Source organism: Homo sapiens, chromosome 12 (assembly GCF_000001405.40).
Source record: "Homo sapiens chromosome 12, GRCh38.p14 Primary Assembly".
Lineage (NCBI taxonomy): Eukaryota > Metazoa > Chordata > Mammalia > Primates > Hominidae > Homo > Homo sapiens.
The window spans coordinates 51,388,943-51,416,167 of NC_000012.12; the positions used below are offsets into that span (position 1 = coordinate 51,388,943).

General features: G+C 44.8%; 2 protein-coding genes across 26 annotated transcripts in view, besides 6 other annotated features; one reads left to right on the forward strand and one right to left on the reverse strand.

The window, feature by feature from the left end:
• Positions 1–2,731, reverse strand: part of GALNT6 (polypeptide N-acetylgalactosaminyltransferase 6) — a 40,422-nt gene extending 37,691 nt beyond the window's left edge. For 4 of the 21 annotated variants that reach the window (XM_047428183.1, XM_024448813.2, XM_047428182.1 and 1 more), the window contains exons 1-3: positions 2,659–2,731; positions 2,140–2,253; positions 1,908–1,995 (exon numbers count right to left, since the gene is read on the reverse strand). The gene's annotated coding sequence lies outside the window, so the exon portion shown is untranslated. Of the gene's footprint in view, positions 1–1,907; positions 1,996–2,139; positions 2,254–2,344 lie in introns of all 21 variants that reach the window. The other 17 variants (XM_011537822.3, XM_017018745.3, XM_024448816.2 and 14 more) reach the window with 6 other exon arrangements.
• Positions 590–679: an enhancer, noted in NCBI's record as "active region_6380". NCBI's record gives its function as "activates an Ori minimal core promoter by ATAC-STARR-seq in GM12878 lymphoblastoid cells {active_cell/tissue: GM12878}" and the evidence as "EXISTENCE:reporter gene assay evidence [ECO:0000049][PMID:35858748]".
• Positions 1,641–2,226: an enhancer, noted in NCBI's record as "H3K27ac hESC enhancer chr12:51784367-51784952 (GRCh37/hg19 assembly coordinates)". NCBI's record gives its function as "activates a minimal SCP1, AML or CMV promoter by ChIP-STARR-seq in naive H9 embryonic stem cells {active_cell/tissue: H9 hESC(naive)}" and the evidence as "EXISTENCE:reporter gene assay evidence [ECO:0000049][PMID:30033119]".
• Positions 2,227–2,811: an enhancer, noted in NCBI's record as "H3K27ac hESC enhancer chr12:51784953-51785537 (GRCh37/hg19 assembly coordinates)". NCBI's record gives its function as "activates a minimal SCP1, AML or CMV promoter by ChIP-STARR-seq in naive and primed H9 embryonic stem cells {active_cell/tissue: H9 hESC(naive and primed)}" and the evidence as "EXISTENCE:reporter gene assay evidence [ECO:0000049][PMID:30033119]".
• Positions 2,227–3,036: a biological region, named in NCBI's record as "H3K27ac hESC enhancer GRCh37_chr12:51784953-51785537".
• Positions 2,497–3,036: a silencer, noted in NCBI's record as "silent region_4467". NCBI's record gives its function as "represses an Ori minimal core promoter by ATAC-STARR-seq in GM12878 lymphoblastoid cells {active_cell/tissue: GM12878}" and the evidence as "EXISTENCE:reporter gene assay evidence [ECO:0000049][PMID:35858748]".
• SLC4A8 (solute carrier family 4 member 8) overlaps positions 2,504–27,225 on the forward strand; it is a 124,318-nt gene continuing 99,596 nt past the window's right edge. For all 5 annotated transcript variants that reach the window (NM_001405270.1, XM_011539011.2, NM_001258401.3 and 2 more), the window contains exon 1: positions 2,504–2,546. The gene's annotated coding sequence lies outside the window, so the exon portion shown is untranslated. The remainder of the gene's footprint in view (positions 2,547–27,225) is intronic.
• Positions 4,855–4,944: an enhancer, noted in NCBI's record as "active region_6381". NCBI's record gives its function as "activates an Ori minimal core promoter by ATAC-STARR-seq in GM12878 lymphoblastoid cells {active_cell/tissue: GM12878}" and the evidence as "EXISTENCE:reporter gene assay evidence [ECO:0000049][PMID:35858748]".

The following is a 27,225-nucleotide window of genomic DNA, read 5'->3' on the forward strand; positions in this document are numbered from 1 at the left end:
TGACCCCACAGGGCTGTCAGGTGCCACAAAAGTCTTCTAACAGTCCTTCTCCTCCCTGGAGTGAGCTCACCCTTGTTCACCACACAGGCCTTTTACACAGCACAATTACAACATTGAGCTCGACACAGAGACAGGCACTGCCCTGCACTTAACCTCCTGCTTATTCAAATCCTCACTCTCGTTCCTATCAAATGAGAATGAACATTTGGGCTTTCCCAGAAAGGGGCAGAGGACTGTGTAAAGAGCTGAGTTCACCCAAGCTACGGCATGGACACACCCAACCTGGTCTTCAGCATCCCTTCCAGGGCTGAGATGTCGGAACACATCCGTGGGAGCCAGAAAATGTTAAGAAGAATACCATCACCATTTTAAATATTACTGCTTACCATATCAAATCAAGTTACAGTTATCTTCTCTGTTTTACACAGAAGGAAACTGAAGCACAGGGAGGTCAAGTAACTTGACCAAGGTCACACAGCTAGAAATGTGGCAGAGGCAGAATTTGCATTCAGGCCTATGTATCTCCAAAGCCCACTCTCTTAACTATGACATCACATTGTCTTGCATTTGACTGGTGCTTGGAGCTTTGCCAAAACACTTCATATACACCTTCTCATTTGCTCCCCACCCAGGGAGTGTTTATGTGTTTTGGCTAAGATTATATATCGAAGTTAGTGACAGGGCTGAGTCAGCTGCCTGCCTTCATGATACTCACTGCCTCCCTGCACTGAGAGGCCCTCAGCCCTAGGGTTAGCTGCCCCTCCTGGTCCTGAGGTCTGTTCGAGGCAATGGTTGCATGGACTAAGTTCATGCTCATATTTCCTGTCCCCACTTCTTCCAGCTGAACTTGGGCAAATATGTTTCTGACCTCACAGGGCACCTGACACACATCAGGGCCTCCCCTTCTCTGCCCTGAGTTCTTCCATGCTGCTACAGGTAGGAGTCAGCTGTTCCACCCACTGTAGGACTGTGGGCAGCATTACTGAGGTGAGGTCATCTTGAGCAGCCCAGTCTCCTGCACACTTCCCTCTTTCTTTTGAGGGTCTTGTCCTGTTCTCTGCCCTGGTGCCCCTGGAAGCAACTTTCTCTGATTACCTCTGGGTTCCTAAAGTGCATGGCACCATTAAGGAACTGGAGCTAGGGAAATGCCTGCAATGCTACTGGCTCCTGCTAGGCAATTGGAATCAAAGCATATTTCTTTCTTTCTTTCTTTCTTTTTTTTTTTTTTTTTTTTTTTGAGACAGAGTTTTGCTCTTATTGCCCAGGCTGGAATGCAATGGTGCGATCTCAGCTCACTGCAACCTCTGCTTCCCAGGTTCAAACAATTCTCCTGCCTCAGCCTCCCAAGTAGCTGGAATTACAGGCGCCTGCCACCATGCCCGGCTAACTTTTTGTATTTTTTGTGGAGATGGGGTTTTGCCATGTTGGCCAGGCTGGTCTCGAACTCCTGATCTCAGGTGATGCACCAGCCTCAGCCTCCCAAAGTGCTGGGATTACAGGCATGAGCCACCACATGTGGCCGGAACCAAAGCATATTTCAAACCCCTCACCTGACCTGGTTTTCATCATCACATGAATTTCCCTGTCTCATCCTTCTTAACCTTTCCTTTGATGGGAAGGGAGACAGCTCATCTGTCTGGAGCGGAGAATAGGGCCTGTGTGGTGCACACACATCTCTGGTAGAAGGCGCAAAAGTCCTCGAGGCTCTTTGGTGTGTCCAGAACTATGAACCTCACCCAGTGCCTGTAAATTGTGTGTGTGGGCCTGGGGGCGAGCTCAGAGCACAGAGTTAACATCCTTTCTGAGAGTGCTGCAATGGGTTGTCGGCTGCTAGAAGGGGTCTGCTGTAAGCTTTGTGGGCAAACTGACCACCCTCCACCCCCATACACAGAAGAGCCCCATCCTACCCTCTGCAGACGTCTGGGTCTGCGATGATTGGCCCTGGATGCAAGTAAAAGCTGTTTCTCCTTTTTGTCAGCCTGGGAATCTGAACAACTGAGGAAATAGGGAAGTCGGTGACAGTCACAGTCATGAACACCCAGCAGATTCCATTTCCCCACAGCAGGAGGCAGATCCCTTCCCACCCCCAAAAGCCCCCAGGCTCTGGAGGGAATTCAACCAAGCAGGGCTCAGACCGACCTCCACCAGCGAGGCTTCTCCTTGCTGTCCCCTTCTGCTCAGGCGCAACGTGGCAGGGCAGGAGGAAACCTCTCTGCAAGAGTTGCCGTACCAGAGCACATGGGGTGGCCCGATCTGGGGAGACGGGGCACAGAAGGAATGCAGGGCATGGGTGGGTGAGGGGAAGAGGGTGTGGAGCCCTGGCTCTGGCTTGTCCCCCTCTCACCCCTCCAAGTTCCAGAGGTCTGGGCTCCTCATTCATCTCGTAAGCGCCAAGGTGGAGGGGGGTCCTACCGAGGGAGGAGCTACAGGCCACCGCGACCAGCAGAGAGCGAAGGCAGGAGGGACCAGCCTGGCCCAGCCCCTTCATTTTACTGTCGGGGGTAGTGAGGAGGAAGAGGAAGAGGCGAAGGCTGGCGGAGGAGGAGGTGAGAGCGAGGACTCGGCAGAAGCGAGATCCGCCGAAGGGAAGTCCGAGCAGTCGGGGAGCTCAGGGGGGCCCTCCCGGGGAGAGGGTCGCGGGCTCCTTCTGCCGCTTACCTGTCGCGCCGAGGCAAAGCCGCAGCCGCGCCGCGGGGTGGCTCCCGGGTTTCCCCACCGGACGGCCGGGAGGGTGGGACCGGGGCGGGACCTCCCCCAGCTGCACTAACGCGCCCGCCCCGCCCCTCCCTGGCCAGGTGCAGCGGGTCCCGCCGTGTCCTCAGCCTGCTGCGGGCCCGGGAACTCCCGGCGGACCGGCAGAGGGGCGCCCCGGCTTCTCTGCGTCTCAGCCCGCCCCGGGGGTGCGGTCTTTGCGGCCAGGCTTTCAGCGCGGAAAAAGATTGGAGGGTCCTAGTCACCCCAAAGAGGACAGGCATTAGCAGAGCCGCGGGCGGCGGGTGCATGGAACCGGAATGTGCTGCGCGCCAGCCTGGAGCGCTCGGAGCCCGGAGGCCTGCCCCGGAGGGGGAAACGCGGCGGGGCGGCCATGGGCCCCGGGGTCCTGCCCCAGGTTTGCTTCTCATTTGTGCTCCATCCAACAAGAGCTCGTATTCCGTGTGCCATGAACTGTGTCAAGGGCTCCAAGTGCCAGGTATCAGGTGAATCCCAGCCCCAGCAAACTTTAAACCTACTATGATTATTCCGAATGTACCGGGGAGGCAGCTGCTCACACAGCAGAGGGTGTTTCTCAAAGTGGGATCCCCCACCAGCAGCGCCAGTCAGAATCACCTGAGAACTTATTAGAAATTTTGGCCGGGCGCGGTGGTTCATGCCTGTAATCCCAGTACTTTGGGAGGCCGAGGCGGGCGGATCACAAGGTTAGGAATTCGAGACCAGCCTGGCCAACATGGTGAAACCCCGTCTCTACTAAAAATACAAGAAATTAGCTGGGCGTAGTGGCGGGCGTCTGTAATCCCAGCTACTCGGGAGGCTGAGGCCGGAGAATCGCTTGAACTCGGGAGGGGGAGGTTGCAGTGAGCCGAGATCACGCCACTGCACTCCAGCCTGGCGACAGAGCGAGATTCCGTATCAAAAAAAAAAAAAAAGAAAAAAAGAAAAGAAAAGAAAAGAAATGGGCCCCACCGCAGACCTAAATATTCCGAAACTCGGGTTGGGCCCGGCGACTTGTGTTTTAAAAGCCCTCCGGGTGATTTTGTGCATGCTCGACCTTGAGAACCCTGAACAATTAGTGGCAGGGCTGGAATGAGAATCCTGGTAAACCCGCCTCCTAAGCCGGTGTTCGGAATTACCCCGCCAGGGCCCGTGCTGCTCAGTGGTCCTCTCCGGCGCTGCCTCGTGTGCTGCAATCTTTTGGGGCCTTAGCAACAGAGAAGGAGCGCGCATGACTCCAAATAGCCAATAATTTGAAAACTTTCTATGGTAGAAACTTCTACCACTAGTTCAGTTTCTCTTTTGTTTTGATATTTAAATAAATTTGTCTTTCTTTCTTTCTGTTTTCTTCCTCTTTCTGCTGCCCCGCCTCCCTCCTTTTTTCTTTTTTCTTTCTTTCTTACTCTCTCTGTCTCTCCTTTCTCTCTCTCTCTTTCCTTCTTTCTCTTTCTTTCCTTCTTTTTCTCTTTCTTTCTCTCTTTCTTTTCTTTTCTTGCTCTACTGCCCAGGCTGGAGTGCAGTGGAGCTATCACGGCTCACTGCAGCCTTGACCTCCGGGTCTCAAGCTGTTCTCCTGCTTCAGCCTCCACAGATGCATGCCACCATGCCCAGCTAACTTTTTTTTGTAGAGAGGGAGTTTCGCCATGTTGCCCAGGTTGGTTTCAAACTCCTGGGCTCAAGCCATCCTGTTGCCTCGGCCTCGCAAAGTGATGGGATTAGAGGCATGAGCCACCGAGTCCAGCCATGAATTTGTATTTCTAAGACCCTAAGACCTGGGAGCAGGAGCATGAGTGAGTAGATCCTAGCAAGAAGTTCTGACACGCACTGGGAAAGGCAGGGAAGCCAGCCGGGTGTTAACAGGTGAATGAAGAAAGTAATCTTTTTTTCTAACCTGAGACTCCAAGGTAGGTTTGATCTATTCAGAAGGTGAGATGTTCTTTGATGGAGTCAGGAGAGAAGGCCAGCAGAGTGTGGAGAAGAAGAGTTGCCCAGCTACACATGATCAGAGTGACGTGAAGGATGGACATTCTCCCAGGAGTAGAAAGGGGTTCATCTGCTCACTCTTGGCATGATGCCCGACTCCCCTAACTCTAAGCAGCCTTCCACCAACTCCCTTCCTTTCACATTCCAGGCCGTGGGCTTTAAGCTCCTAGAGAGACTTTCTACAGAGCTTCCTTGAGCATCCCTTAGCCCATCTGTAGACCCTCTGGACTCTGATTCCACCTCACTGCCCCAGCTGCTTCTATTCTTGTCATGTGCCTTACTTGACAGCTGTCTTTCTCAGAATGAGGGCACTTCCTGTGGAAGATTGTGGGATGCTGCCCCTCATGTCTCTCTTCTTGGGGCTGAACACTCCCTGTACAGGTCGGACCTACCGTCTTTGCTCTGTCCTTCCTCCACCTCTGCCCTTTGACCCTCAGGGGTTGTGTGATCCTGACGTGAGTCTTGCACCTTAGTCAGGACCCAACCTAACCTGAGGTGAATGGCCCCTATTCCTTCCCAGGACAGGGTCATGGCCATTACCCCCAGCCTGGTGCTCCTGAGAGGGCCGGGCCCAGCTTCCCAAGAAGTAGCAGCAGTCTGCGTTGTGTGTTTCGCATTCCGGAAGCAAATTACTCATCTGATTTTACTTCAGCTGACGCTGATTTTAAATGTGACTTGGAATCCTCAGAATAATTAGCTGCCTAATTTGGAGGTTCATGAGTCCGCAGGATGTGTGACCCACCCCTAATGTGTCATGCACTGAGCTGTTCTCTCCTAACAGGAAGGACGGTGCAGGCTTCCTCTCCACCAAGCCAGGAAGGTTTGCAGATGAGCCACCACAGAATAGTGACTGCAATTTCTGCCTCCGCTGGTACAGGCAACTTTCGAAAAATGGTTTTTTAGGCTGGGAGTGGTGGCTCATGCCTGTAATCCCAGCACTTTGGGAGGCTGAGGTGGGAGATCACTTGAAGCCGGGACTTTGAGTTCAGCCTGATACAGCGAGACCCTGTCTCTACAAAAAATAAAAATACAACAGGCACGGGGGCCCACTTGAGGGTGGAGGGTGGGAAGAGGGAGAAGATCAAAAACTACCTAGCGGGTATTATGCTTATTACCTGGATGACAAAATCATCTGTACACCAAACCCTCGCAACATGCAATTTACCCATGTAACAAACCTGGACATGTACTCCTGAACCTAAAAGTTTAAAAAACATATATGATAGTGAAAAAATGAAAATAAAATTAGCTGGGTGTGTTGGCATGTGCCTGTGGTCCCAGTTACTTCGGAGGCTCAGGTGGGAGGATTGCTTGAGCCTAGGAGTTAGAGGCTGCGGCGAGCTGTGACTGCAATGCTACATTCTAGTCTGGGCAACAGAGCAAGACCATGTCTCTGAAAAAAATAAATAAAAAAAAAACGGGTTTCTGTAAATGAAAAAGTTATACGTAAATGAAATGGAAAATAAAAATGAAAAAGTTATATATGCACATGGTAATAAGTCAGGCACTATGAAAATGTATACAGTGAAAGCTCCATTTCCCACCTCTCTAGACATTGTCTCTATCTCCAGAAACCTTGGGTCCAAGGTCCCGTGCATATTCCTGACTGAAAGTTCCCATAAGCGCTTCTGCAGGACATGTCTAGATTCTGTTAACTGCAAAGACCCAGGATGACCCCTTCTCAGGAAGTCCTATGAATTTCTTTTTTTTTTTTCTCACGATCTTATTTTTATTTCTTGGCTGTTTTAGATTCGGGTTTTGGGTGTTCTGAGTTTCACTTTTCACATGAGTGTGCATCAAGGGTGTTCCCCACCATAAGGCAGGAAACCTGGAGGGGAGCAGAACAGTGGAAGTGTGACAAAGGCAGCTCTGTGAGGCCGTTGACACCAGCCCTGGCCTTTATCTAGTCTCTTCCTTCCACACGGTCCCTGGTGAGGGGATACCCACCTCTGGTGGGGCAGAGTGAGGGAGACCTGCCCTTCAGGGGGAGGTGCTGGCTCCACTTAGCTAGGGGAGTGTGCAAGGGATGCCGTGAACTTGCCAAGGAGGTTAGTAGGGAGGCCAGCTGGTCAACCTCCCTCTGTCCTATCACTACCTCTCATCTCACCCACTCTCCTCTACCCTGAGGGAAACAACGGAGTCTCCCACTCCCTCCCTACCTCTTTGTTTCTTATCTGTGAAGTGCAGTTAATGATACCTGGGGTTGTTAATGAAGCTCAAGTGAGATAACACATGAAAGTGTGAGAGTTGGGTCTTCTAAATTACATCTGCTGCTCTACTTTCCTGCATATTCACATTTACTCCTCATCTCATTCCCATGCTCAGGAGAGAAACAGTTAAAGCGAGAAATATTTTAGGGAACCCAAGCAGAGCTGCTCCTAGTTCTGCCATAATCACTCATGCGCTACAATTCACCCATTTCTGTGTGCCTCAATTTCCTCATCTGTAAAATGGATATGTTATTTTTATGATTGGGTTGTAAGATTAAATAAGCAAAGTGCTTAACCCAGCATCTGGTACACAATAAGCAGTCAGTTGAAATTTGGATGTTAGCCATTATAATATTAGCTGTTTTTCTTCTTTCCTTCCTCCATTCCTCCCTTCAATAAAATGCTGTTAAAGTGCTCCATGTGTTAGCCTCTATGCTAGGTCAGGTGTGGAGATACAAGGATAATAAGTCATGTCTGTCTCATCCAGACACCCATAGTTTGTCAGGGGAGCCTGATGTAAAAATGACTATGAAGGAGCAGGGCTAGGACTAGGGTAAGGCAAGTGAGGGCACTTCTCTTGAGTGCAAAATTTATGGGGGCATCTAAAAACTCAGTAACCAAGATAAATAATACTTTAATGCAATATTTTAAAAAAATCAAAATTAATGCAAAAAATCAGTGATGGACAAAGTATCAAAAATTCAAAATAAAGAATCAGCTGGGCCTGGTGGCTCATGTCTGTAATCCCAGCACTTTGGGAGGCTGAGGCAAGAGGATCACTTGAGCGCAGGAGTTTAAGACCAGCCTGGGCAACATAGTGAGACCCCATCTTTATTTAAAAAAAAAAAAAAGACTAGTTTCCTTCTAAGCCATATTGAAGCCTAAGGAAAAAAGAAAAATATATACCCTCATACATATTTTTCTGTATTTTTTGAATGGTTATTTTTTCCTAGAGCATTAAAGTAGTTGAAAAAACATTTAAAACTTGAAACATAGGTGTATTAAAACTCACAGCATTACTTTAAATATTTTATTTGTTCCAAAATGGAATTTATTATGATTTTACTTCAGCCTTAGTTAATTTTTTTTTTTTTTTTTTTTTTGAGACGGAGTCTCATTCTGTCGCCCAGGCTGGAATGCAGTCGCACGATCTCAGCTCACTGCAACCTCCACCTTCCAGGTTCAAGCGATTCTCGTGCCTCAGCCTCCCGAGTAGCTGGGATTACAGGTGTGTGCCACCACACCCGGCTAATTTTTGTATTTTTAGTAGAGACGGGGTTTCACCATATTGGCCAGGCTGGTCTTGAACTCCTGACCTCGTGATCCGCCCACCTCGGCCTCCCAAAGTGCTGGGATTACAGGCGTGAGCCACCACGCCCGGTCTCAGCCTTAGTTAATTATAATTTATTTAAGATCATCACTTGGTCAAGGGAAACTGTCAAACGTGGCAATCTTACAATTCAAAATGAAATAAGCAAAACAGTTAGTTTTGAAAATATGACTAATGAGTTTGCTTGCCTTAAAGCCAGGAGCTTGTATTTTTCCTTTTGCCTCAAGCTCCAATTTGGCTTAGCATGGCATTGGATTGGGACGTGGACAAAGAACATAAAGAGAACAGAGAGGAGAATAAGAGACAGGGAGAAGGGTTGAAAGAGTCAGGTGGGATGGGGAATATATTATTTTTCCTAATGATCCAAATATCACATTTTCAATGTGCAAAATTTCAGATGCACAGAAAATCACAAAAAAAGAAGACAAGTTATCCATAATTATGTTACCTAGAGATAACCAATGTTGCTATTTTGGTATGATATAGTCTGCTCTTTTTCTATGCATATATGATTTATATGTACATATAAATTTCATCAATTCTAAGGTGCATTTTTAAAAATCTTTAACATATCTGAAATTGGTATGTATCTTAAATTGATGGTGTTATAACTTAGCAGTGTTGGATAATGCCTGTAATCCTAGCACTTTGGGAGGCTAAGACGGGAGGATTGCTTGTGTCCAGGAGTTTGAGACCAGCCTGGGCAACATAGTGAGACCCCTGTCTCTATAAAAAGTACAAAAATTAGCCAGGCATGGTTGTGTGTGCCTATAGTCCCAGCTACTCGGGAGGAGGCTGAGGTGAGACCCAGGAGGTCTCAAACTCCTGAGCTCAAGTGATCCACCCACCTCAGCCTCCCAAAGTGCTAGGATTAAATCCGTGAGCCACTGCGTTCTGCTCGAGTATCCTTATTTTTACAAGTGAGAATTTTATAAGCACAGCAGTTCCCTGTAACTGCAGTCTGAGCCCTTAGCCACTACTTTTTGCAAGTCTGTCTCTCCATTTATTCAAGTTTCTAGTTTATGATCCTCAGAAAAGTTTTCTAGTGTTCTCTCTCCTAATCTTTACAGCTCTTGTTAAAATGATTCCTTGGCATTTTATATTACCTATTTTAGGAGACTCTTGATCAGTCTTTCTTTTGTATAACCGAAGCCTCCTAATATCATACAATTAATAAGTGTTCCTCTCTTGGGGTTGTCAAACTGTAACTATGGACTTTCTACTTAAATCACACAAGATCATCTCCTTAAAAGCAATCAAGTGCCCAAGATCTGTCCTTTCACAGTAGAGAAATTTCACAACTGCAATGAATAAAACATCCAAATGCTTGTAAGATTTTGCTGTGAGAGCTTTTTCTGCTCAAAATTATGATTTCTTATTTAATATCTCTCTTTAAAAGAAGAAACATATGCACATTTAACCTTCTGAAATCTTAATTGGATTTCAATCTGACAGTTGTTTTGCCCAAAGAGAGGTAATAAAAGGGGCTATAAACTAACTCCGCAGAGCAAACAATCCTCCAGCTAAAAGCAAAACCTGTTATCTTCCCCTAAAAAAAGAGAAGTTTCTGTTTCTTTCTTTTTTTCTTTTTTTGAGAGAGAGTCTCGCTCTGTCGCGCAGTCTGGAGTGCAGTGGCCTGATCTCGGCTCATTGCAATCTCTGCCTCCCGGGTTCAAGCGATTCTCCTGTCTCAGCCTCTGGAGTAGCTAGGATTACAGGCGTGCGCAACCACGCCCAACTAATTTTTGTATTTTTGTAGAGATGGGGTTTCACCATGTTGGTCAGGCTGGTCTTGAACTCCTGATCTCAGGTGATCCACCTTCCTTGGCCTCCCAAAGTGCTGGGATTACAGGCGTGAGCCACCACACCTGGCTGAAGTTTCTGTTTTCTTAGACATTTGAAAAATCACAAATTTCATTAGGATTGAAGTCTATCTGATATTAATATTACTTTGGATTGTAAGTAAAGGAGAGGTGATAGAATAACTCATTGGTAGATGAGTCCAGATGTTTAATGTCCTCTTAATATCCTAAAATGTTTGCCTCATTGTTTATTAATTCCCGTGGAATCTTATTTACTTATTTTCAATAGGTGATATGTGCATATGGCAAAAAAAATCTAAAGCTCAAAAGTATAGTGAAGAGGGAGTCTCCCTCCTTCTCCCATCTGCAGTCACCTAGTTTTCCTCCCCAAAGGCAGCCACTGTTACTGATTTCTTTTGATTCTTTCTAGAAACATAGTTCAGAGGAGTCACCCTGATTTTGGCAAGTACTTTAAATAGCAGCTTCTTAATTTTTTTTTTATTACATTGCCCATAATGGTTAAAGTTATTTTAAAAGTAGTCCTCTTACTGAGCTCTCTTTGTGGCTCTGATAGATTTCCAGAGGATTCTCTTGATTTTCTAGGTAGACGGACATATCAGCAGCATTCAATTTTGGCAAAGTGAAAACAGTTTTGGAGTGAGACCTGGGTTGAATCCTGACTCTTCCAGCTGTCTGATCTTAAATCTAGCCTTTAAAACATGTTGGGCCAGGCGTGGTGGCTCACGCTTGTAATCCCAGCTCTTTGGAAGGCTGAGGCAGGCAGATCACGAGGTCAGGAGATTGAGATCATCTTGGCCAACATGGTGAAACGCTGTCTCTACTAAAATACAAAAAATTAGCTGGGCATGGTGATGCGTTCCTATAATCCCAGCTACTTGGTAGGCTGAGGCAGGGGAATCGCTTGAACCTGGGAGGTGGAGGTTGCAGTGAGCTGAGATTGCGTGACTGCACTCCAGTCTGGTGACAGAGCAACACTTCGTCTCAAAAAAAAAAAAAAAAAAAACCATGTTGGCACTGTCCAAAGGTAGCACAGAGGTACGAAGTGGTCCCTCCTCCTGGGTGTGGTGGGTGGAGTGGGCAGAGGCCATGCAGACCCAAGCACTGCCCCTTGGCCCTCTCCTGGGTTTGTTCCACCTGGACCTGCAGATAAATCCAGAGGCCTTTGATCTCAAGGATTTCTAACCACCCAGAGATCAGGAGGAAAGACTGCAAAGGAAGCCCTAAAGTAGAATAACCTTTTCTTTCTCCATGAATGGAATGTAAGTTATGTTTGCTGAGGGCAGATTAAAATAGATTTTATTGTTTGAAATCAGGAATTTACAGAAACTCTTTGAAGAGCTACTATCATCGAAGACCTTTAAATCCCCCACTGTGGTAGTGGGCAAAATAGTCACGTACAATTGTAATGTGTATAGATGTGTATAGGTTTTCTCAGAGTTGGGACCCACTGCCAGGCAGGGAGTTGGTGGTATTTGATGCTGTTGTTTGGGGAGGAGTGGTACTAAGAAAAAAAACCATGGTTAGTGAGGAAAAAACAAAAAACACAAAACACACTCTCAGTTGCCCATAGAGTTATATCAGTTTGATGGGATACCCTAGAACACCTCAGGGGTCTGTGAATCCTTTAACCACTCAATGGAAAAGGTGACTGGGGTATAGATTGTCTAGTTTGTTTATATGACATAACTTTTTTCCAACGGTACTTGAGAGGAGTGTGAATGAACTCCTTTATATATATATATATATATATATATATATATATATATATATATATATATATACATACATACACACACACACACACATATATAAACATATATGTTTATATACGTATATAAACATATATGTTTATATACGTATATAAACATATATATGTATATACATATATATATATTTTTAAACAGGGTCTCACTCTGTTGCCCAGGCTGGAGTGCAGTGGCACCGTCACGGTGAAACGGGAAAGGTTCCCTTGTCCCCCTCACAGGGAGTGCAACAAGGGGAGTGGCTCGCTTCTTTAGGGCCCGGCTGCTGAAATCTCTATGGAACATACAGATGGGCAGGTTGTGGGGTTCAGATCCCACGGCAGCGTCTACCTTTGGACAGTGCCAACATGTTTTTCTTTTGTTTGTTTGAGACGGAGCGTTCCTCTGTCGCCAGTTAGTGTTTACAGCTCCTAGCCCCAGTGGGCGTGTGCTACCGTGTGCTCTTTTAATTTTGCCGTCTGTAGGCGGCTGTGCTAACCAGCTGGATTAGACCCTCTGCCTTATCGCGAGGTTTTCTGTATCCCGGGTTCTTGCCTTGGTGTACCGGAAAAATCAGATCATATGTGGGCTTGGAGAATGAGTGCAAGGTTTTATTGATTTTAAGTAGCTCTCAGTAGATAGGGGAGCCAGAAGGGAGATGGAGTGGAAAGGTGGTTTTCCCCTGAGTTGGGCCGCTCAGCAGCTGGGCTCTCCTCTGACTGCCCCAGGCAAACTCTATGTCTTTCCGTGGGCCGATGGCGTGCCAGCGTGCTGGCATCTGCCACTGCATGTTGGTATGCTCTTCCACCAGTGTATTCCTCTCGATGTCCAGCTGCCTGTGCGTTCCTCTACTGATCTGTTCCTCTTGACGTCCAGCCGCTTGTGTCTCTGCCCGCTCGGGTCTCGGGGTTTTTATAGGCACAGGATAGGACTGTGGTGGGCCACGGTGGTCTTGGGAAATGCAACGTTTGGGCATGAAAACAGAAATGCCTGTCCTCACCTAGGTCCCTGGGCACAGGCCTGGGGGTGCAGCCCTAGCCAGGGACCACCCCCTTCCCTTCCCAGCACTTCCCTGCCCCACTCCCATATCAACTCTTCAATGCAGCCTCAGCCTCCCCAGGCTCAAGCAATCCTCCCACCTCAGCCCCCTGAGTAGCTGGGAGTACAGACATGTGCAACCACACCCAGCTAATTTTTCTATTTTTTTTTGTAGAGATGGGATCTCCCTATGTTGCCCAGGCTGGTCTCAAACATCTGAGCTTAAGTGATCCTCCTCCTTCAGCCTCCCAAAGTGCTGGAATTACAGGCATGAGCCACAGTGTCTGGCCCCTTCGTATCTTAACCACCAGGAGAAACAGACCTGAAGTGATGCCTTGATATATGTGTGTTATGCAAGACTAGAGTAAGATTTGACAGGCATATATGGTTACAACAGGGGGTGAGCTCAGACTTTGAAAAGATATTGGCTTCACTCCCTAATCATCAAGACTTGGAATATCCTGGGATTCAGCTGTTGTTGAAGGGAAACCATTCCAGGTTTGCCAAACAATTGAGTGACTTAAGGGGTGCAAAGCTAGAATGCTTCAAGAATAGAGGGAGAAGAAGCCCTGCTGTGCTGATGGGCTCTCTATGGTGTTATCCTGTCCTGGCATTTGCTACCCCGATAAACTCACAGGTGCTAAATTTAAAGGCTAAAGTGAGGCCTGGCACAGTAGCTCACGCCTGTAATCTCAACACTTTGGGAGGCTAAGGTGCGTGGATCACCTGAGGTCGGGAGTTTGGGACCAGCCTGGCCAACATGGTGAAACCCCGTCCCTACTAAAAATGCAAAAATTACCTGGGTGTAGTGGCGTGTACCTGTAATCCCAGCTACCTGGGAGACTGAGGCAGGAGAATCTTTTGAACCTGGGAGGTGGAGGTTGCAGTGAGCCGAGACCGCGCCATTGCACTCCAACCTGGGGTACAAGAGTGAAACTCCATCTCAAAAAATAAAAAATGAAAGCTAAAGTGGTCAGGGTAGTTGACTCCTAGGCATTTATTTGTCCCTTTGCAATTAATCTAAGCACCATATGGTGATTCCACTCTCCTTGCCAGTGATGGGCAAAGACGGGTGTCTTCTGGGGGTGCTTGTCACTTATCCTGTTCTTCACAGCGTTATCCCATGGCCAGATGCTATGGGAGAGGCATGTCTCAGTATGGGACTGGGGGTCCCTGATAGAATCCCCCCCAGTGAAAGGAGAGACTCTGAGAATGACTGCATGAAGTCCCCCAGTTAGCTGGCAGTTCTGTAGTCATGGGTAAGTTGTTTAGCCTGTTTTCATTTTTTTTTAAAGGACAATTATATAGAGTCTGTTGTGAAATTTAGATTAGGTAATAGGTATAAACTGCTCAGAACAGTGCTCAGAACATAATAAATGCTCTATGTTCAACAAGAACAACAGCAACAAACTCAGAAGCACTCCTCGCTACCGCCGGGGAGACCCAGGATACCTAAACTTTACTGAGTTGGGGCCACTCAAGCCTGAACAGAAGGATCAGTGGAGCCAACATGTGAGTTTCTTGATATGTGCCTGTTACTCCACCAGAAAGCGTTACTTACTCATTTCCAGAGTTTGGGCAGGAGCCATGACAGCCTGTTGATGAGCTTGGCTGAATCATGAAATTTGGCCTGGGTTTGAGGGTGGGCAAGAATGGCCGCTTGGATCCTGCTCAAAGTTCTTTCGTTTTAGGTTTACTCCCAAAGCAGCTGAAAGCAGTGCACAGGATAGAAATGAAACAAGGGTACATTTAGGTGGGTGGCTGCTGCTTCCCATGGCCTCTTGTGTCAACTCCCAAAGAAGCACCCCTCAGAGTCTGCCGATGTTACCATTCAGTGGGGGAGAAAGATGTTTGCCAGACTGGAGCAGCAGATAACGGCAGGTTCACTGCCTTTATACCCCAGCCACATGGCACCCAGAAGGAATAAGAACACCTATTTTATTTAACACCCGGCAATAATTCTGTTAATCAAGCCATGTCACCCAGGTCTAAAGTCTAAGCATTGAGATTCTTCCCATGTCAGCCTTGGGGCAATCATTCCTTATCTGTACTTTTGCCGTAGGCAGGGCGGTTGCTAGCATTGCTAAAAGGCATCCTTTCTGTTGGGCAGATGCAAAGCTATACATTAGGATGCTTGCTTGACAAGCTAAGTGTGTGCAAGGCACAAAAGTTGCACAACCACAGGTGGTGGCAGTGGCTGCAGGGCCCTGGAGTTCCCATTTCTGCTTGGGGCCTGGCACAGTGATCTCTGCCTTAGGGTAGACAAGGGAAGTAGGCTTCACTCAGGGTGAAGTCAGACTTGTGAGCAAATCATAAGACTCTTCCGTGTGGCCACTGTTGCTGCTTGCTGCAACACAAAAGCAGACGCAAATAGGACATCGGGAGCTACATGAAGGGGTTAGATGGCTTTGGAACCCTGGGCTGCCTGGTGAGCATAAAATTGTCAGTCTGTGGAAGTTGACTCCTGACCAAATGCAAGAGAGGCTGGGGAGGTTGACTATGTACAAGGAGAGGCAGAGATTGGGATGGGGCAGTCAAGTACAAAGAACCTGCTTTTTCCTTTAGCATCTTTTAGGGAACTACCTTCCTTTGATTCTTAGTCCATGAAATTCAGATGAGGCCCTCCTCACTCCCTAGCGCCAGCCAGGTGAATCTTAAATCTTGTAGCCACAGTGATTGGTTTAGGGTTAGGCATGTTACCCAAGCCAGGCCACTCAGAGCTTTCTCTGAGACATTTCTTAGGGCAAGCAAAAAAGATGAACTCCTCCCCCCGTCTTTTCTCCTCCATCCCCACATGACCACTGATGGAATCATTAGATGGGAAGTTATGTATGTTTAGGGTGGCTAGTGATCATCTTTGCTATTACATGAGGCAGGAGAGTCAACTTGACCGTGAAGCCAACGCTGAGAAAGCAGAGAAAGATAAAGAATGAGAGGACTCCAGTGATATCTTTTGGACTCCTGGGTCCTGCTGTATCTGAAGTCATTTATTCCTAGACTTCTCCTTTCTTCCACTTTCTTTGCTTTCTCCTCCCTTCCCTGCTTTCTTTCTTCCCTTTTCTTTTGTCTCTTTTTCTTTCCTTATTTTTTTCTTGTTTTGATTGAAATTTGTTTGAGTGTGTTTTTGTCACTTTCAACCAAAAGAATCTGATCAATAAATAATATGATGCACTGGATTAAGTTATTGCTATAAGGGCGTGAAAAGGCTTGAGGTAAAAGGGCTGTCTATGTTCATGAAAATCCAGGTCTGGCAGGGAAGAAGCAGAGAGAAACTGCCAAGAAAAGCTTAGGAAATGATGCTTCTGACTCTCCAGGGAGCAGAGAAAGGGAGTTGGGTGGTGACTCACAGTGGGGAGGTGGGAACACATTGGATTGGAAGGGATGGACCACCCATCCTTGTGGGCTTTATTCTATGAGATGCCCTTGAACCATCCAGTTTCTAGGCAGGTCTTGGAGATCTTGGAAGACCAGGAAACTGGAAGCCTTCCCCCTGGGAGAGAAGGTGATCCCAAGAATAGAGAGGCAAGAGGCTGGTTAGTGTCTGGCCTATTCCAAGCGCTTCAGGACATACTGTACCTCATTCCCTCTGAGCACTGGAGAGGTCACCATTTCTCTGCTTCATTACACCATTAGGCTCAAGCCTGTTGATGTTCTGTGCCTAACCATGTCCCTCATGTTTGCTTTGAAGAGGTTGCACCCAAATTCCCCAGTGGGGGTCTCCACCATTATATATAAATAATACCGCTGTAAACCCCCTTTATGTTCATCTATGGCCATTTTCTTTCTTTTTCTTTTCTTTGTAGAGACAGGGTCTTGCTATGTTTCCCAGGCTGGTCTCAAACTCCTGGCCTCAAGCAATCCTCCCACCTGGGCCTTCCAAAGTGCTGGGATTACAAGCGTGAGCTACCATGCCTGCAGGGCCCCGTGGCCATTTTCTTAGGATAAACTTCTAGAATGAAATGTACCAGGTCAAAGGTTATGAACATTATTAAGGTTTTCGATTCATTCCAGGAAGAAATATTATCTATTACTAGAAAAGAGATGTAAAAAGTTCCAGCCTTTGTCAACTAGGAGAGTGATGATCATCAAATACCACACGTAAGAGGTGACTTGTTTTTCAGAAAAACAGAGCCATGTCATGATGCCTATAATAAATTAAATTAAGGCCATAAAATAGGGTGTGAGTGCAGCAGATCATGTGGCATTAAACAAATTGGACTGTCTGGTTCCCTGGAGATATATAAGACAAACACACCAGAGAGGTGATGTAATGGGGTTATCAGGGCATTTCCTTGAGAGTATCCCAACAGTAGCAAGTGTGGTGGTAGCCACAGTGGCAGAGGCAGCGGTAGCAGCAGCTGTAGTTGCATTTACTTCTGCGTAAGTGGGGTTAGGACCAGAGAGGGAAAAGAGCTAGTCTTTCACTCTCAGGAACTTTTTGTCTAATGAGGGAGATCACCAACTGCAAATAAAATTATCCCGAGGGAGAGATTTTGGCCTGGTATAAATAACATTCTAAGTCTATTCACAGTTGGAAAGGTTAATGCATTTGAAAGCAATGTGGAAGCCATAAAGCATTATTGATGTGGGGTAGAGTGTTAGGTACTAGGGAGTCAGACAAGAAAGACCTGGTCCCTATCTGTAAGGAGCTTCCAGTCCCTGGCACAGTTACTCTAGAATGTGATATGAATGTGTAACAGAGGGGTGTGTGTAGGAGGCCCGGTGGTGGCATGAAGAGGGGAGTGGTTAACTTCACCTGCTGCTTCAGAAGGATTTAGAAGAGGTGACATGACCTGGTTTGTAATGAACGAGTAGAAGTTTGCCAGGTAGGTAAGTGGGAGAGATGCAAATAGAGTGAAGGGCATTTGTGTGACGTTGGTGGCCCCCACAATTTGGGGAGCAAATAACATGCCCCTGTTAGTCCTCATAATTTAGTGCTCCAGGCCCCACGTGCAGCAATATCAGGTCTGTGGCCCTCTGAGGCTTCACCCTCTCCCCCAGATCCTTGAGGTTACTAGTGTTGAGGGGAACTTGGCGCTGGCTGGCAGGGCTCATTGCAGCAGGGGACTGCAGCTAATGAGGAGGAGCCAGGCTAGGCCAGGCAGTTCTCCCTGCAGAAGCCGGGCAACGTTTGAGGCCTGTGAAAGGAAGTGGATACTGGAGTGATATCTTATCCTGGGGGTATGTCTTACTCCATTTGGGCTGCTATAACAAAATACCTGAGACGGGATAATTGATAAACAACAGAAATCTATTTCTCAGTCTGGAGGCTAAGTCCAAGATGAGGGTGCTGGCAGGTTTGGTGTCTGGTGAGGGCTGCTCTCCTCTTCCAAGATGGTGCCTTGTTGCTGTGTCCCGGCATGGAGGGAGGCAGAAGGGCAACCTGACTGACGGGAGGAGCCCTCATGGCCTAATCATCTTCTAAAGGCCTACCACTAATACTGTTGCATTAGAGATTAAATTTCAATATAAATTGCTTGCTTGCTTTTTCGTTTTTTAGAGATGAAGTTTTGCTCTGTTGCCCAGGCTGGAGTTCAGTGGCACAATCATAGCTCGCTGTAGCCTGGAACTCTTAGGCTCAAGCAATCCTGCCTGAGCCTCCCAAGTAGCTGGCACTACAGGCATGCATCACCATACCTGGCTAATTATAAAAAAAATTTTTTTTTTTTTTGGTAGAAATGAGACCTCCCTATGTTGCCAAGGCTGGTCTGAAACTCCTGGGCTCAAGTAATCTGCCCACCTTGGCCTCCCAAAGAGCTGGAATCATAGGTGTGAGCCACCGTGCCCGGCTTCAACATAGATTTCAATATAATTTTGAAGAGACACATTCAAACCATAGCGGGGTGTGTCTCTAAAGCATAGGCTCCTTGCTCTCCAGGAAGTATGCCCCTAACTGAATTGCTCAAAATTGCCTGCATAAACTCTTGGTTTTTCCACCAGACCACTTCCACTGGGTGCTCAGCTGCCTGCCCTGGTGTGGGACGTGCACACATTCTGACCATAGGCATCTGTATTCGTTCCCTAGGGCTGCTATAACAAAGTACCACAAACTGGGTGGCTCCAAGCATGTTTATTGTCTCACAGTGCTGAAGAAATCTACAAGGCCATGCTCCCTGTGAGGTCTGTATGGTAATCCTTCCTTACCTCTTCCTGGCGCCTGGTGGCTGGCTGGCAATTTTTTGTGTTCCTTGGCCTGTGCAGGCAGCACTCCAATTCTCCATCCTCATATGGTGTTTTCCCTGTCGCACTGTGTCTTCACATGTCTGCTTCCCTATAAGGACACCAGTCATATTGGATTAGGAGCCCACCCTACTCCAGTATGACCTCATCTTAACTGATTACACCTGCAAGGACCCTATTTCCAAATAAGGTTATATTCTTAGGTACTGGGGGCTAGGGGTTAGGACTTCACCATATCCTTTTCTGGGGGACACAATTCAATCTATAATGGGTTTTGTTTGTTTGTTTTTGAGGCAGAGTCTCACTCTGTCATCCAGGCTGGAGTGCAGTGGCACGATCTTGGCTTACTGCAACCTCCGTCCCCTGGGTTCAAGTGACTCTCATGTCTCGGCCTCCAGAGTAGCTAGGATTACAGGCGCGTGCCACCATACCCAGCTAATTTTTTGTATTTTTTTTTTTAGTAGCGATGGGGTTTCTCCATGCTGGCCAGGCTGGTCTCGAACTCCAGACCTCAGGTGATCCACCCACCTTGGCTTCCGAAAGTGCTGGGATTACAGACGTGAGACACTGCGCCCGGCCTATAATGGGTTTTCTGAGAGATGTGGTGGTGGAGCTTTGAGATGGCAAAGACCAGTGCTCCCAGTATTTGGAGGTGCTGCTCAGGGGCGACAGCGCAGGAGCATGGTGTTCACCTCTTTCTGCTTGGTGACCCGAGGCTGCCCAGGAGTATGGCTGAGGGGAACTGGGGCTCTGCTGGAGCCACACAGAGTGATGTTGCATCTGGAGGGAAGGGTGGAGTGGAGTCCCTGTCAAGGGAGCCATTGCTGGGCCTCTTCCCTGCTGTTCCTCAAGAAAAGGAAACTGCCAGTGTGATGCGCACTCCAGAGCATTTTCCTTTTAGAACAGAGAAGGAGCGGGGAATGCATCTGACTAGGTACCCAGTCTTGTTTTTGTTTTTCAGAGTTATTCTGGATATTTTTGCTTGCCCATTAATTAAAAAAACCCTGTTCATAATTTTATTGTAATGTCCTGAAATTTAAAGATGAGTGAAAGGAGAATTAGCATATATATATACTTTTTTTTTTTGAGACAGGATCTCACTCTGTTGCCCAGGCTGAGTGCAGTGGCACAATCATGACTGACTGCAGCTTTGCCCTCCCCAACTCAAGCAATCCTCCCGTCTCAGCCTACCAAGTAGCTGGGACTACAGGTACACACCACTACACCTGGCTAACATCTTTAATAAAATTGAGTTTTTCCTACCAGATACACAGTTATTCAATCTATTCAAGAGTCTTTTGTGCTACTCAGTAGTATTTTAATGACTTTTTTTCTTCTAGTTCTTGCACACTATTTGTTGTTTGCTAGATCTTTTCTCTTTGCTTGCTAATATAACAGGAATCTTTTCTCTCATCTTGTTATCTAATCAGTTGTGCTTTGTGTTATAGGAAAGCTGTTGATTTTTGCATAATATTCTTTTGCCTAGTCACTCGCTTCTCTGAATTTTCTTACTATTTGCAGTTGTTTTCAGTTGATTCTGTTAGGTTTTCTAGGTTTACAATAATATAATTTAATCTCTTTCTTTTTGATATTTTTAAAGAGATGGGGTCTTGCTGTGTTTCCCAGGCAGGAGCACAGTGGCTATTCATAGGTGCAATCATAGTGCACTGCAGCCTTGAACTCCTGGACTCAAGGGATCCTCCTGCCTCAGCCTCCCTAGTAGCTGGGACTATAGGTGTGCACCACTGCACCCCTGATTTTTATACATTTTATTTTTTTCTGTTGTCAAGTTCCATTTGTAACCAAATGTAAGTCTGGCTGCTCGCTGCCTGAGAAGCCAAATACTCATGAGGCGAGGTGTGGTGAAGCACCAGCAGTTGAAGAAATGGCTAGGCTCATTCTTCCAAAAAAACCATTTCAACTTTTTGGGCTGAGTAAAGGGATTTAAGAGGAAAATGTGGTATGGGAAATACGTGGAAATGTCGGGTGCGGGTTCTGCATGTCTCGTTCCGATGGCTATCTTGATAATCGCCCCTCCAGGGGCCTGGTTGGCGTCAGTCTGACTTTGGCCTGATGGTGGTGGGCTAATCATTTGTAACCTTCCTGCAGGAGGATTCTGCAGCTGGGCCTCTATGCCTGGTTTATTTCAGAATTGGTCCCTGGAATTTCTAAGCAAGCACATAATTAGATAAGCAAGCACAGTGCATGGGAGTGCCTGGCGGGAAAGGGAGGAAAACAAAGAGTTTTAAAGTACATTTCAAGGCTATATTTTGAGTTTAAAGAAAAAAAGTTTTAAAATGCATCTTGAAGCTGAGATACTCGGTTACACATTGACCTATTCAATCCTTCCCCACCCATCAGGTAACAGTAGTGTTCTTGGGCATCTTTAGCTAGTTTTTTACTTTACTAGGAATATATCTCTATTTTCCCATCAAGTATGATGCTGGCTTTGATTCTTCTGGTTAGAGTCATCCTGAATGCATCTGGTGTTGAAATTAATCTCTTTTTTTTTTTTTGAGATGGAGTTTTCACTCTTGTTGCCCAGGCTGGAGTGCAGTGGCGCGATCTTCGCTCACTGCAATCTCTGCCTCCCTGGTTCAAGCAATTCTCCTGTCTCAGCCTCCCGAATAGCTGGGATTACAGGTATGCGCCACCAGGCCCAGCTAATTTTTTTATATTTTTAGTAGAGACGGGGTTTCACCATGTTGGCCAGGCTGGTCTCAAACTCCTGACCTCAGGTGATCCACCTGCCTCGGCCTCCCAAAGTGTTGGGATTACAGGTGTGAGTCACCATGCCTGGCCAATCATTTTTTAATTAGAGGGGATTTCTTAAAAAACTTTCTTGTCCCCCTTCCCACACTCCATGGTTTGGATTTCCTATCTCTTCGAACAATCTTTCTTTTCTTTTCTTTTCTTTTCTTTTTTTTTTTTTTTTGAGACAGGCTCTCACTTTGTCGCCCAGGCTGGAATGCAGTGGCAGGATCATAACTCACTGTAACCTCAAACTCCTGGGCTCAAGCCATCATCCCACCTCAGCCTCCCAAAGTGCTGGGAATACAAGTGTGAGCCACTGCTCCTGGCCAATCTGTTTTTTTTTTTTTTTTTTTTAAATACAGAATTACCTGTTGAGATTTCAGTTCCTTATACAGAGTTGAGCAATTTTTTTTTATCAATGGAGGTTATTTATTCTCATTACTTATTATTTGCATTTATGCTTTTTCTCCTTCCCTGTCCCTTCCCTATGCAATAATTTGGTTAGTTGATGCTTTAATCTTTTCTGATGCTCTATTGCTTTTCAATTTTCTAATTTAATAATTTCTACATTTATCTTTAAAAAGTCTTTCTTTAGGCTGGGTGCAGTGGCTCACACCTGTAATCCCAGCACTTTGGGAGGCTGAGGTGGGTGGATTATTTGAGCCCCGGAATTCAAGACCAGCCTAGGCAACATAGCAAAACGCCATCTCTACTAAAAATACAAAAAATTAGCAGGGTATGGTGGTGTGCACCTGTAGTCCCAGCTACTCAGGAGGCTGAGGTAGGAGGATCACCTGAGCCCAGGAAGTTGAGGCTACAGTGAGCGGTGATTATGCCATTGTACTCCAGCCTGGATGATGAGAGTGAGACCCTGCCACACACACACACAAGTCTTTTTTAAGTTATTTTGTGGCTCTTTTTCTAACTTTTTGAGTTGGGTACTTAATTCATTTATTTTCATTTTCATATTTATGTATGTAATTATTTAAAGCTGTAAAATATGTTTGGTTCTAGTCTTCTGCAGTGTCAGTTGAAAGAGCTGCTTAAGTGTTTAAGAAGTTCTATTTAGTAGAGTTAAAAAAAAAATTGTTGTCTGGGCATGGTGGCTCATTCCTGTAATCTCAGAGCTTTAGGAGGCCAAAGCCGGAGGATCGCTTGAGCCCAGGAGGTTGAAACCCTTTCTCTACAAAAAATACAAAAATTAGCTGGGCGTGGTGGCATGTGCCTGTGGTTCCAGCTACTCGGGAGGCTGAGGTGGGAGGATCGCTTAAGCCCAGGACTTCCACACTGCAGTGAGCTGTGATGGTGCCACTATACTCCAGCCTGAGTGACAGGGTGAGATCCTGTCTCAAAAAAAGAAAAATTGTTACTGATTTCAAGTTTTATTATCTTATGACAACAGCATGCCTTTCACTCTATCAAAATTATTGAGGGTTTTTTTTTGGCCTAATAATCAATTTTGATAAATATTCCATGAACCATTGAAAAGATGTATTCTTTGTTTCCAAAATATAGAATTTAATATATATCAATTGGATCATATGAATTATGTTACTTGGATGTATATCTTTATTTTTAAAAATGTTCTAGTTGATGCATAATAATTATATATATTTATGGGGTACATGTGATATTTTGATACATGCATACAGTATGTATTAATCAAATCAGGGTATTTAGGATATCCATTACCTTGAACATTTATTATATCTTTGTTTTGGAAATATTTCAAATCTTCTCTTCTAGCTATTTTGAAATATACAATAAATTGTTGTTAACTGTAGTCACCCTACTGTGCTATTGGACACTAGAACTTATTTCTTCTAACTGTAGGCTTTTGTCCATTAACCAACCTCTGTTCATTCCCCACCTGCCCCTGCTCTTCCTAGCCTCTGGTAACTATCATACTGCTCTCTACTTCCATAATATGAACTTTTTTAAGCTCCCATATAAGTGAGAACATGTGATGTTTGTCTTTCTGTACCTGGCTTATTTCACTTAACATAATGATGTCCAGTTCCATCCATGTTGCTGTGAACAATAGAAATTCATTCTTTTTTTATGCTTAATAGCATTCAGTTGTGTGTAAATACATTTTCCTTATTCATTCATCCATTGATGGACACTTAGTTTGATTCCATATCTTGGCTATTGTGAACAGTGCATGGAGATGCAAGTATCCCTTTGATATACTGATTTCCTTTCCTTTGGATAAATACCCAGTGATCAGATTGCTGGATCACATGGTAGTTCTATTTTTAGTTTTTTAAGGAACCTCCATACTGTTTTCCATAATGTCTGTAATAATACACATTGTTACTATCAGTTTATAAGAGTTCCCTTTTCCCTGCATCCTCACCAACATTCGTGTTTTTTTGTCTTTTTGTTAATAGCCATCCTGGCTGGGGTGAGATGATATGTCATTGTGGTTTTTATTTGCATTTCCCTAACAGTTAGTGATATTGAGCATTTTTTTCATATACCTGTTGGCCATTTCTATGTCTTCTTTTGAGAAATATCTACTCAGATCCTTTGTCCATTTTTTCATGGGATTATTTGTTTTATATTTTGCTGTTGAGTTCTTTATATATTCTGGATATTAATTCCTTGTTGGATGAATAGTTTGCAAATAATTTCTCTCATTCTACAGGTTGTCTCTTTACTCTGTTGATTGTTTCCTTTGCAGTGAAAGAGCTTTTTACTTTAATATAGTCCCATTTGTCTATTTTTGTTTTTGTTGCCTATGCTTTTGAAGTCTTAGCCATGAAATATTTTGCCTAGATCCATGTCCTGCAGCATTTCCTGTATGTTTTCTTCTAGTAGTATTTATAGTTCCTGGTCTTACATTTAAGCCTTTAATTCATGTTGAGTTAATTTTTGTATATGGTAAAAGATAGGGTCCAGTTTCATTCTTCTGCGTATGGATAGCCAGTTTTCCCAGCACCATTTATTGAAGAGGGTGTCCTTTCCCCAGTGCATGTTCTTCATGCCTTTGTTGAAAATCAGTCAGTTGGCTGTAAATATGTGGATTTATTTCTGGGTTCTCTATTCTGTTTCGTTGGTCTGTGTGTCTGTTTTTATATCGATACCATGCTGGTTTTGCTTATTCTAGCTCTGTGGTATATTTTAAAGTCAGGTAGTGTGATGCCTTCAACTTTCTTCTTTTTGCTCAGGATTGCTTTGGCTATTTGGGATCTTTTTTGGTTTCAGACAAATTTTACGATTATTTTTTCTATTTCTGTGACGAATGTCTTTGGTATTTTTATAGGGACTGCATTGAATCTGTATATTGTTTTGGGTAGTATGGTCATTTTAACAATATTAATTCTTCCCATCCATGAGCAGGAGATGTCTTTCTGTTTGCTTGTGCCCTCTTCAATTTCTTTCATCAGTGTTTTGTAGTTTTCTTGCAGAGATCTCTTACCTCCTTGGTTAAATTTATTCCTGGGTCTTTTTTTTTTTTGTAGCTATTGTAAGTGGGATTGCTTTCTTTGCTTTTTTTTCCCAGCTAGTTCATTATTGGCATATAGAAATGCTGTTGATTTTTATAGGTTTACCTTGTATACTGCAATTTTACTGACTTCGTTGGTCAGTTCTAAGAGTTTTTTGGTGGAGTCCTTAGGTTTTTCTATATATAAGTTCATGTCATCTGCAAAGAGCGAAAGTTTGACATCCTCTTTAATCTGAATGCCTTTTATTTGTTTCTCTTGCCTGATTGCTCTGGCTAGGACGTACAGTATTATTTTGAATAAGAGTGGGCCGGATGTAGTGGCTTACACATGTAATCCTGGCATTTTGGGAAGCCTAGGCAGGAGGATCACTTGAGCCCAGGAGTTTGAGACCAGCCTGGGCAACATAGTGAGATCTCGTCTCTACAAAAAATCATAAAACGAGGTGGGAAGATCACTTAAGTCTGGGAGGTTGAGGTTGCAATGAGTTGTGATTGTGCCACTGTACTCTCACCTGAGTGACAGAGTGAGATACTACCTCAAAAAAATAGTGGTGAAAGTGGACATCCTTGTCTTATTCTAGTTCTTAGAGAAAAGGCTTTCAGCTTTTCCTCATTCAGTATATTAGGTGTGGATTTATTACATGTGGGCCTTTATTATATGGAGGTATGTTTCTTTTATGCCTAATATGTTGAGAGCTTTTATCATGAAAGAATGTTGGATTTTACCAAATGCCGTTTTAGCATCTATGGAAATAATCATATGGTTTTTGGTCCTTCATTCTGTTAATGTGATGTATATTGATTTGCATATGTTCAGCCATTCTTGCATCCCTGCGATAAATCCCACTTGATTATGATGCAGTATCTTCTTGATGTGCTGTTGGACTTGGTTTGATTTTGTTGAGGGTTTTTTGCCTGTATATTCATCAGGAATATTGGCCTGTAGTTTTCTTTTTTGTTGTTGTTATATCCTTGTCTATTAGGTTGGTGCAAAAGTAATTGTGGTTTTTACCATTGGAAAAAAAAAAAGTCAAATACCGCAATTACTTTTGCACCAACCTAATTTTGATATCACAGTAATGCTGGCCTCATGGAATGAGTTAGAGAGAATTCCCTGCTCTTTGATTTTTTGGAATAGTTTGAGAAGAACTGATGTTAGTTCTTCTTAAGTGTTTGATAGAATTCAGCAGGAAAGCTATCCAGTTCTGGGTTTTTCTTTGTTGGGAGATATTTTATTACTGATTCAATCCTGGTATCTGTTACTGCTCTGTTCAGGTGTTCTGTGTCTTCCCGGTTCAATCTTGGTAGGTGGTAGGTGTTCAGGAATTTATCCATTTCCTCTAGGTTTTCCAATTGTGAGCTTTACTTATGTTTTGTCTTGCTCTGTCACAGGCTGACAGAGGTAAAATAAGCTCTTCTCAGAATAATGTGTGTTGATTCTTTCTTGTATGTCCAGTAAACTTTGTTTTATATCTTTGTTGCTATGTTATTTGTTTACTCAGATATTTATTATATCTTCATTGTAATGTAAACCTTTATTGTTATAAAGTGCCTATCTTGGACACAAATATGGAAATTACAGACACTGGGGACTCCAAAAGGGGAGAGAGTGGGAGGGAGGCGAGCATTGAAAATTTACCTATCAGGTACAGTGTTCACCAGTTGGGTAATGGGCCTACTAGATGCCCAGTCCCCAGCATTACACAATATAACCACATAAAAAATATGCAAATGTACCCCCGAATCTAAAATAAAATTAAATATAATAATATAGTGCCTATATTTGTCTAGTTTAATAATTTTCCCCTTGAAATCACTATTACCAAAAGGTAAGAGTACGACCTCTACTCTCTTCCTTTTTTTTAAATTTACTTGGTATACCTTTGCTCATTCTTTTATCTTTCAAACTTTCTGAGTTACCTTGCTTTAGCCATGATTCATAGGCTGGGAATAATCTGTACCTTTGGCATTTTGCCAGCTTAGGACTAGAGCTGTCCTAATTAGT